The sequence below is a fragment of the Homo sapiens genome, chromosome 7 (assembly GCF_000001405.40).
Source record: "Homo sapiens chromosome 7, GRCh38.p14 Primary Assembly".
Taxonomy (NCBI): Eukaryota; Metazoa; Chordata; class Mammalia; order Primates; family Hominidae; genus Homo; species Homo sapiens.
In genome coordinates, this window is record NC_000007.14 from 12,720,522 (window position 1) to 12,731,828 (window position 11,307).

General features: G+C 39.3%; 3 annotated features.

Annotated features, from left to right (window-relative positions):
- Positions 2,194–2,594: a transcriptional cis regulatory region, noted in NCBI's record as "candidate enhancer chr7.1000 targeted for multiplex CRISPR interference". NCBI's record gives its function as "positively regulates ARL4A gene expression with high confidence in K562 cells {active_cell/tissue: K562}" and the evidence as "EXISTENCE:mutant phenotype evidence [ECO:0000015][PMID:30612741]".
- Positions 2,263–2,557: an enhancer, noted in NCBI's record as "tiled region #4524; K562 Activating DNase matched - State 5:Enh". NCBI's record gives its function as "activates a minimal TATA promoter and a strong SV40 promoter by Sharpr-MPRA in K562 cells {active_cell/tissue: K562}" and the evidence as "EXISTENCE:reporter gene assay evidence [ECO:0000049][PMID:27701403]".
- Positions 8,583–9,106: an enhancer, noted in NCBI's record as "OCT4-NANOG hESC enhancer chr7:12768729-12769252 (GRCh37/hg19 assembly coordinates)". NCBI's record gives its function as "activates a minimal SCP1, AML or CMV promoter by ChIP-STARR-seq in primed H9 embryonic stem cells {active_cell/tissue: H9 hESC(primed)}" and the evidence as "EXISTENCE:reporter gene assay evidence [ECO:0000049][PMID:30033119]".

Consider the following 11,307-nt stretch of genomic DNA (forward strand, 5'->3'; position numbering starts at 1 on the left):
CCAAATTATACATCAAAACCGAGAACATGGCCAGGCGTGGTGGCTCACGCCTGTAATCCTAACACTTTGGGAGGCTGAGGTGGGTGGATTGCCTGAGCTCAGGAGTTCAAGACCAGCCTGGGCAACACGGTAGTCCTCAACACCCCTCAACACAGTGAAACCCCATCTCTGCTAAACACGGTGAAACCCCATCTCTACTAAAATTAGTACAAAAAATTAGCCTGGGCGTGGCGGCATGCGCCTGTAGTCCCAGCTACTCAGGAGGCTAAGCAGGAGAATGGCTTGAACCTGGGAGGCGGAGGTCCCAGTGAACTGAGATCGCGCCATTGCACTCCAGCCTGGGTGACAGAGCTAGACTCTATCTCAAAAAAAGAAAAAAACAACCTGAGAAAAAACCAAGTCACTGGCAATGAGATTCACAAACTTATGAAAAGTAGGGAATAAAAAAACAGGATGAATCATAAAATATTTTTTGTATTAACTAGATAAAATCTATCCTTCTGAGTGATATTCCCACCTGTTTTCAAGCAAATGGATAAAAATCTCTGGTAAAATAATAGACTATGGAGAAGATTCAGGTAGGAGCTCCTGCTCTGCCTTCTTCCTTGTTTTTTCCAGTGACTATTGAAAAAAATGGGGAAGAAAAGAGACACTGATAAAGCTTCCAAATTTTCCCAGTAGGAGAGAATTATAAACTTTTCCTACAACTTTTTCGTTTTAGACAAAGAGTTTAGTGGTCAGATGAGTTTGGGGATCAATGTTGCTTACATACTCTGATTTCAGGCCTTAACTTCTTGTTAAGTTCCAGACCTATGTACCCAGCCACGTTTACAATGTGTCCTCCTGGAAGTTCTGCAGGCAATTCAAACTCCAAAACTTAACTCTCAGTGTTTGTTTCCATATCAGCTTCATTTCCTACCAGCTATCCCATTGCCCAAGTCAGAAAATTGGTATTCATGCCATGTGGCTCTCTCTCTGTCACCGCCCTCTCACCCTTGATCCAAGCCACCCAGTTCTTTTTACTTTGTGTCTTCCCCATCTCTCTGACATGCCTCCTTTTTCTCTTTCTCTCTCTCTCTCTTTTTTTTTTTTTTTTGAGATAGAGTCTTGCTCTGTCATCCAGGCTAGAGTACAGTGGTGTGATCTCGGCTCACTGCGACCTCCACCTATGGGGTACAAGGGATTCTCCTGCCTCAGCTTCTCAAGTAGCTGGAATTACAGGCGCTTACCACCATGCCTGGCTAATTTTTGTATTTTTAGTAGGGACAGGGTTTCGCCATGTTGGCCAGGTTGTTCTCAAACTCCTGACCTCAGGTGATACACCTGCCTTGGCCTCCCAAAGTGCTGGGATTACAGGTGTGAGCCACCGCGCCTGGTCTTTTTTTCTATTTTCAATCACTGGCGAGGCTCTCACTTGGTCTGCCTGTGATTACTCTCCTCCTTTTCCTCAAATTCATCCTTCACACTGTTGCCATAAATTTTCTATACAAATCCGCCCTAGACAGTCCCATGTTCGAAATACTTAGATGATTCCTCTTTAAGATAAAGTTCCTACCTTCACTTATTCCCCCTCAGATCTCCTATCTCCCTTACATGAAGCCTGTGCTTCAGAAGTTCCCTGAAGTTGATGCTCTCTCTTTCCAGCACTGCCTGCTCATACTGCTTTACTGGAACCCCTTCCCACTCTCGTATGATTGGCCAATTTCTTCTCATTCAAGGCTCAGTTGATGTGCAACCTTCCCTGACACTTCTGTATCCACCTTTCTGAGTAATGTGTTCCTCCTTTATGTTTCCTCAACATCTTGTACGTGCTCTGACACAATAGTAAAAGGCAATGTGATACTCAATAGCTGAGAAGAGCATTGCCACTGGAATCAGACAGATCTGGGCTTGAATTATGAGTCTGCCATTTACTAATATCAACCCAGAAATATAATCTCAGTAAACCTCATTTTTATCTATAAATAATACAGATAATAACAGCTATATTACAAGTGTAAGTAAACATAAGTCTATATAAGTTTTAAGTAAAATAAAATGTATACAACATAAAAATTAGTGCCTAGTATGATGTAGTTGTATCTCCCCCGTAACTGTGGGTATATCATGTTCTTTTTGGGATCCTCAGGGCCAAGAAGAGAGTTGGCTCAGAAATGCTGCTAAGATGTCAGCATTTGACACTATTGCCAACTTCCTCCTATAAATACACTCTCTTGGCTTAAATTTCTTGACACAATTCTCATCTCTGTTCTTCCTATCATTCTGGCTGCTCTTTTTTCTATATATTTTGCTGAGTATTTCTCATATACTTATCTTTTTAGAGTTCATCAGGCCCTGTCCTACTGCCTCTTTTTATCTCATTCTCTCTTTACCTCATTTGTTCAAAGATTAACTAACCAACTGCATAAGAATTACTTGCCTTCCTTTTCCTGGAAACATGCAGAGTAAGAATACTTAGTATTTGAGGGAGATGAGATCATGGATTTGCATTTTTAACAAGTTCTTTAAGTGAGTCTTCAACACACTACATTTGAAAATTGTGGCCGTAGAAATTTCTTCCTCTCCTGTATCTTCAAACACTATGCATTTGCTGAAGATTTTTAAATTTATGTCTGTGTCCCAGACTGCACTGTTGTATTCCCAACCCATATAGCCAACAGCCTCTTTGGCATTTTCCTCTGGAAGTTTCTCAGGCAAAGTGTTCAAACGTAAAATTTGTATACTTCTCTGCTAAGTATTTCTTAAACGAAGCAGCTTCTACCCAAATGCTCAAACCTAGGGACAGCCATCTCCTTCCTCTTCCCTCCCTCTGCTCTAGCACCAGAATGCGTGTAATATCTCTTGAATCTTTCCACTTCTTTCCAACCCCACTACATACCCTCTAGTGTAAGCCACAGTTTTCTCAGCCAGAATTTCTGTAATAGGCTTCTAATTCATCTTCTTAATGGTAATTAAGTATGGGCTCTGAGTCTGACTTTTAGGTTTTAAAATATCTGTTTGTCAAAACTTGTTTAACCTTAGTTTCTTCTTCTATGAGGGTGGGATAAAATAGTATCTACCTCAAAGGATTTTAAGATGAGTTACATAGGTAATTAATGTAAATCTCTTTGTAATGTATGGGACACACAAGAAGCTCACAATAAATTTTTATGAACCACTGCTACTCCCCTTCTGCCCATCAGCCACTCAGTGACAGTGATCCTTAAATATGCAAATCAAATCATCATACTTTTCTTAAAAACCCTACAATGGCTTTTTTTTTTTTTTTGAGATAGAGTTTTGCTCTTGTTGCCCAGGCTGGAGTGCGATGGCATGATCTCGGCTTACTGCAACTTCCGTCTCCCAGGTTCAAGTGATTCTCCTGCCTCAGCCTCCCGAGTAACTGGGATTACAGGCATGCACCACCATGCCCAGCTAATTTTGTATTTTTAGTAGAAACAGGGTTTCACTATGTTGGTCGGGCTTGTCTCGAACTCCTGACCTCGTGATCCACCTGCCTCGGCCTCCCAAAGTGCTGGAATTAACAGCCGTGCGCCACCGCGCCCAGCCTTTTTTTTTTTTTTTTTTTTTTTTTTTTAAGCAGTCTCCATCGCGCAGGCTGGAGTGCAGTGACGCGATCTCGGTTCACTGCAACCTCTGCCTCCTGGGTTCAAGTCATTCTTCTGCCTCAGCCTCCCGAGTAGCTTAGATTACAGGCATGCGCCACTACGCATAGCTAATTTTTGTATTTTTAGTGGAGATGGGGTTTTGCCATATTGGTCAGGCTGGTCTCAAACTCCTGACCTCAGGAGATCCACCCGGTTGGGCCACCCGAAGTGGTGGGATTACAGGCGTGAGCCACCATGCCTAGCCTTCGATGGCTTTTAATGTCTTTAAACTACAGTGGTTCCTTGGTATCCTTTGGGTAGTGGTTATAGTACCTCTCCCCTATTCCTGACACCCATGGATACCAAAATCTGCAGGTGCTTGAGTCCCTTATATAAAATGGTATAGTATTTGCATATAACCTATGCACATCCTCCTGTATAATTTCAATCATTTCTAGATTGCTAATTCAAGGTAAATGCTATATAAATAGTTGTCATACTGTATTTTAAATTTGTATTATTTTTATTGTTGTATTTTTGTTTTTAAAATTTTTCCAAATATTTTCTATCCTCATTGGTTGAATGCATGGATACAGAACCCTCAGATAAAAAGAGCCCAGTGGATTGACCTTTATATGGCTTTTGCGATCCCGTATGGTTGTTTAGCCACAGTTTAAAGTCCCACTACCATTTTTCACTACTCTTTCTTTTGATTTTTTCCCTCCAGCAATTCTGGATTTCTTTTGTTACTTGAGTGGACCATTCTCTCCTTTGCATCTAGGCCTGCATAGTATTTCATAGATTTTAGGAGAAAAAAACACTTTATTATGATGGGCTACTTCCTTTGAATTCAGTTTCTCCTTCTTACCTTTTTATACCAATTATTACAATTGTAATTTTGTTCTTTGGCCATTATTCCTATATTCCACTTTGATGGTGAGGAACATATCTGTCTTCTTCATGGTTGTTTTTCCCCAGTGCCTGGCACATAGAAGACATTTGATAATATTCATTGACTGAATGAATATGATGTTCAATGTATTAATCATTTCCCATTTCTACTTTGCATATTCTGTCTTAAATAATGATTGTATTTTCTGTAGAGTCTCACTTTGGATATTAGATGTGTACTAGGATTAAGTAAAAATAACTGAACAATGTTCTAAAAATTCTGAGATTTCTATCGGAGAAATATTTACATCTGCAAAATTTTTCCTAGAAAATAAGTTCCCAGAAATGATACATTTTTGATGTCCAATAAATAAATTATTCATTCAATAAAATTGAGTGTTCTTAATTATAAAAACATTTCTTAATCCTGTATGGTATGTTACTTCTACTTAATATGACAAAACTGCTTTCAGACATATTATTAAACTTGAAAAGGGATATTAAGTTTTATTTGGATAGAAGGACTAAATATTTTATAAAATGTATTTAATCATTGTCTGCCCTTTGTTACTTTTCAATATGATAGCCTATAAATATGTAATTGATAACTCTGTAAACTAATAGAAAATTTGAGGTCTATGGTATTGATGTTATCAAGACTCCTTAGATCATTTTAAGTTTTCTTTCTTATTCGTTTTTTTTTTTTTTTTAAGAGATGGGGTCTCCCTTTGTTGTCCAGGCAGGAGTGCAGTGATGCAATCATCACTCTCTGCAGCCTTGAACTCTTGGGCTCAAGCGATTCTCCTGCCTCAGGCGCCTGAGTAGCTTGGACTACCGGCATATGTCACCACACCCAGCAATTTCTTATTTTTTAATTGCAAAGAAAATCTTTACCTTTTTCTTTCTGACTTGAAGCAGGTCATCAGATTGTCAACAGCTGCACCTTTCCTCATTTTGATGCTTATTTACCCCCTTTATTTACCCCCATAGCTACTCCCACACAGCTGAAATAAATGGGTAATTTATTAGAACCCAGCCTCTTAATTAGTTATACACCTTTAACATTGGCTTGAATCTTGGAGGCCCATCCCAGCACCCACATTGGTTCCAAGATTTTCAGCCTAGTGTAGTGGCTATAAATAGCTCATTTCTATCTACACTTAAGTTTTGAAAGAAGGAAAGAAAGAAAGAGAGACAGAAAAAGAAAGAAAGAAAAGAAAGAGAGAAAGAAAGGTTGCTGTAGTTAGAGTCAGAAGAAGAGTTTGTTGAAGAAGTAGAATTTGTTGAAGTTGTTAATTCTGGTAATAACTGCTAACCAGCTGCTAGATAGAAAATATGAAGAGAGAAAAATCGAGCCCTAGGTCACCATTACTTCACTGTGCCTCTGACATTAGCTCTTCCCCCAGGATATACATAGTAAGTAATTATTTTATATATTTCAATTTATTGAGTGTCTAATATACGCAGCAAGCTATCTCAAATCTTCTAATTATGTATTTTTGAAATGAAGAAACTGCCTATCAGGTTAGGTTTGGTTAAATAATGTGTCCAGAGTCCCTTGTACAGTAAATTGTGGGGTCTGGTGTTTCTTCCTAACTGTAGGGACTGTTCTCTTTCCAGGGTGCCTCACTGCTTTTATCCTCAAGTGATTTACTTTAAATCATTTAAAGCAGATCAACTTTGTATCCAAGTGGCTGATTTTAAAAATGACCCATCACTTATCGTATCTGCTGCAGCTCCCCCAACCCCTCCTCAAGCCCAGGTAGCATCAGTGGACTCCTCTTTGGTTGGCTTTCTCCACTACTCCACACCTCCCTCCACCTATTGGGAAGGTGGCCTTCCTTGAAGGTATCATGTCATCGAAGTACTGCTTCCATTAAGTCATAAGTCTACTTAGAGTTGCCTTTGTTCAGAACAAAATAGTCAATTTTTGTGCACAGTATAAAACGAGAGAAGGCCTCGACCAAAACTATCTCCATAGAAATTTCATCAATAGAAATTTGCTCCTTTGGCTTTACAAGCCACTTAAAGCTGTTTAATTTGCCTGAAAGGGTTAACACTTGTTGCCACTATTTAGCTTAAACTGAACCTTTTTTTCAATAGTTTTCCTTCTACCAGTAAGCTGAAATCAGCTTTCTTGAGTAAATGTAAGTTTTAATGCAGGGTGGGGTAGGATGGAGTGAATGAGAAAGGGAAGATGGGTGGATGTGGGCTTTAAGGTATTAATGAAGTTCAGTTTTGGAGTAGAGCCCAAAGGGAGAGCAGTTCTAGAACTCATGCTAGTCTCTTGTAATAATTGGAACTTCCAGAGATAGGCAAAATCTGCTGGCTCCTCCAGAGGAGGTAACACAAAACGCAAGGAATGTGGCTATGGCTCAGTCTTGGAGATAAGATGCATCCCAGTTTTGTTAAGGCCAACTAACTACTAAACTCTGGAAAAGTGGTATTACATCCTTGTCTTCAGCCACAGGTTTTTCCCTAGTGAAAACACTTCCAAGTATATTTTGTCTCATTCATTCTAAGTCCCATCTATGTTTTGGTGAGAAATTATTAGGTTGCATGCTACAAACTCCCACACAACCTGCTTTGGGAATTTTCTTGTAAGCACCCTGGGGACTCTCATGAAAGAAAAGTGCAGCACATATAGCTGGCCTCACGCGAACTGGACATTTGTCAGGAAGTGACTCTCTGTTTTTCTCCCTCCCTAGAGCTACATGATTTTTTGTCCCAGCTTCTCCACGTGTGTCTGCTATATTCTTCGGTCTCTGGAGACTAATTTCCTATAAACATTTCCATATAGGAAGCGTAAAAGAACAAAAATTTGTGGTAGTTGTAGTTGGAGTGTTATAGGACTTGTACAGAAGCTGCGAGCTGACTGTTTTAAATTAGACCGTGTATTAATTTGGGATGGATTGTAGGGGGTTTCAGCTACCACTGACACACCATCACACGTCCCTGTGAATCTGGCCTGTCTGTGAAAATCCTGGCAGATGATTCAATGTGGCCTTTCAGTGTCTCAATTCCAAATTCCTAGACCAGAGAATAGTTGCCCAGCTTCAATCTCTCATCAGTGCTCAACCCATTATTAATATTCCCCTCCTCTTCCAGCATAGTGTTTTGGCCCAAACCAAGAAAGATGCAAGTGAACAGCTTTCTATATATAATAGAGAAACTTGGAGCCCTGTACTGTCCCAGATGTTATCTTATCACCTTGGTATTTCTTTTTCGTACATGGGAACAACAAAGCATGTATCCTGACTTAGAGTGGAAAGCAAAATAAAAGCACCCATTGGTAATAGCCTTCCTCAAATCCCCTGAACCAGACATCTCCCATTTCCTTTGACTAAGCTCATTTCCTGACAGCCAGCCATCTGCCTTTCAGGACTCTTAAATTGTAGTTTACTAAAAAACAAGCAGCTATGTACACTCCCTCTTCACTTGCTGACATCATCTTTGGAAGGTAATTTCTTAGAGTTTTCATCTATGTGAATTCTTTGATGTGATTAAATTGTATACACACACGCACACAAACACCATGAATGTAGTTTAAAGAATAACTGTTCATAAAACTTTAAAAAGTCTAGAAATTGTAAGCAAAATTAAAACCCTTTTTATTTTCAGGCCTTATTTTTTGTTATTTTATTTTGAGACAGTTTCGCTCGTGTCGCCCAGGCTGGAGTGCAATGGTGTGATCTTGGCTCACTGCAGCCTCTGCCTCCCGTGTTCAAGTGATTCTCCTGCCTCTGCCTCCAGAGTAGCTGGAATTACAGGCACATGCCACCACGCCCGGCTAATTTTTGTATTTTTAGTAGAGATGGGGTTTCACCACGTTGGCCAGGCTGGTCTCGAACTCCTGACCTCGTGATCTGCCCACCTCATCCTCCCAAAGTGCTGGGATTACAGGCATGAGCCCCTGTACCCAGCCCAGGCTGACTTTTTTATTTTTGGTAATTTAAAAATTTGAGTCTACTCATAAGGCTGTGTATTTATTGGTGATATTTCTGACAGTTTGTTGTGATACAATTTGAGATGCTGGGCTTCTTCCATTTTTTCTTTCTTTCTTTGCCATGTTTTCGATTTCAATCATTTACCTAAACTTATTTCTTACAACATAAAAAACTGTATTCAGAGCTCACTTTTTTGGATTTCCTCTTCTAAATAAAATAAGACTACACTCCCGCCCCTCTTCCCCACCACCGCCCCACTCCCGCCCCACTATCTTCTGTTTGCAGTTTAGGCCAAAATGTGTGTGATCATTAAAAACAAAAACAGAACTAAACCTCGCAAGCAGGCTGCAGCTCTGGCTGGGTTCCAGGATTCCATTAGCCAGACAATGGGTGGCCCCAGCTGAGCCAACAGGCAGCCTGAGTGTTGTGGGAGGAAGCCTATCTTGCCCTCTTTGGGTGTCGGGCTACCTGAGCAGGGTCTAAGGCAGGTTGAAGCTCGGAATGGGGTAAACAGATTGTTTTGCAAACAGTTGGTAATAAACGTTTAGCATGGCCTGTACTACTTATATTTGCATTAAAAATCAATTAAATTTGGTAGTGTGCATTTAATATTCTATTTTACAAGTTTATTTTTTTCCTCTTAGAATTATTTAAATAAAACTGCAACCAATTTTGGAATAACTACAGGAGAGCAAGAAATAGCTTAGCAGAAAGCTAAAAATAGATATATTCTTTTAGTTTCTTTCTTATTTCCAAAAGACTTAGCACTATACTTGGGATTATAAAGACTAAAACAAATAAAACAATAAAAAATGCAAGGATTAGCATTTCATTGCATTAAATAAGCAACTGCTGCCTTCTATATTTGGATTTTGAATCTCTCAGCAATTTTGTTATTACTCTGTATGAAATTACCACAAGTGAAGAGGACTGACATCTGATAAATGTACAAGCCTGAAGTTATATTTTTGAGAGGACATTTTAATTTAAAAAACAACACATGAAAAAGTCTTTAGTTTACCAAGCACTTTGAAGTATGTTATTTCAGTTACTCCTCCAAATAACCGACACAGTCTCTAGAAGGTACAGTCCACGAAGACAGGGATCTTGGCTAACTAATCATGGCATTCATAGACCCCCCCCTGGAGAAAACCTCTGAGTTCCACTGAACTGTAATGTGCCAAGGTTGTACTGGTACTTCACATACAGAATTTCATCTCATAACAGCACCTCCCAAGAACTCTCTCTTCACCCTAAATTGAGAATTTTAAAAATCACATTTTATAGAAGAGTAAACTGAAGTTCCTATAAGACCTCCCATTCTTAGCAAACTTTTTTTTTCTTTTTTACTCAAAGCCACCATAGCACAAAAAATTATATGCTTAAAGTTATGCAGCTTCTAATTGACAGATCTAGGACATCTATCCATATGTTATGTCTCTAGCTACAGTCCTCTTTCCACCAAATGTCACCTGTTATTGTAATTTTTTTAATCCATCATTATGCAAACACTGAGGAACAGGGAGACATCATAAGCCTGGGCTGGAAAAGAGAGTTAGCTAAGTTGTGGAATGGACCTAAGTGTCCATCAACAAATAAATAGATAAATAAAATGTAGTACATATGCACAATGGAAAACAACTATTCACCTTAATAAGAGAGAAATTCTGTCATTTGCAACAACAGGGATGTACGTGAAGGACATTATGCTAAGTGAAGTAAGCGAGGCACAGGAAGAGAAATACCACATGTTCTCACTCTATGTGTAATCTAAAACAATGAAACTCATAGAAACAGAGAGTGGAATGGTAGTTAACAGAAGCTGGGGGCTGGTGGAAATGGGGAAATACTGGTCAAGGAAGACAGTGTTTCAGTTAGGAGGTATAAATGTTTGATATGATGGATATGTTAATTGGCTTGATTCAATCATTCCATATGGTATCATAGCATCACTTTGTAGCTCATAAATATATGCAGTTATAGATCATCAACATTCAATCAAATAAAATAAAGTAAAAAATTTAGGGTTTGCTTCAGGAGGTTGACAAGGGTCTTGAAGGAAGACTCACAATCCCTCCCAGTCAGATTAAAGAGGGTAGAAAGTAGCATACAGCCCCCAAATTGTCATGGCTAGCAGCAAAGTGGAAAAACAGGATCCAGATTTTCAGGATCCCTGTGTTTTTTGTTCATGCCTGCCCCACAGTTCTTTCCCTCTTGGGGAAATACCTATTTTTTAAGGTCCACTCCTTTGTCACCCTCCTCATTCCTCGTCTCCTCACCCTTTAAAGGGCTACTTTTGATCTCAACCTTTAGAGAAAGGTAGAGCATGCTGGCTTCTGGAGCTTAGAACAAAAGGTTAGCATCTAGGGAGACAGATTCAGAGTTCACATGTACCAACAACATATGCTGACTTGGATATTTTGGGTTTCAGTTTAAGGAGATGTCCTGCAAACTTTACACAAACACCCATTCTAGGTTATTTCTATCAAGTGAACTTGAGTCAGGCAGGGGAGGGCAGTGCTGAGACACCAGGAGGAAAACAGCATGCATGGGGCAAGGCAGACTCTATTAGAAGTAAACAGGATATGGGTGACCTGGGAAACATCCCCAAAACAGCATGTTTAGGCACATCTCTCACTAAGCTTTGAACTTGCAAAGACAAAAGCTGGGTTGCCCTTTAAGGAGAAGAAAAAAAAAGGAATACTCTTGTTTTCTTCTCCATACTTGTTTCTAAAGGAAATATATTGATTGAAAAATCTCAAAATCCTTCCTGTGTGATAATTTTTCTTCTTTTTTCTATTTCATATTTTCTATTTGTTTATAGTTTAACATGTTGCATTCTGCATACAAATTTGATCTAAAATCTGGATTTTATATTTTTG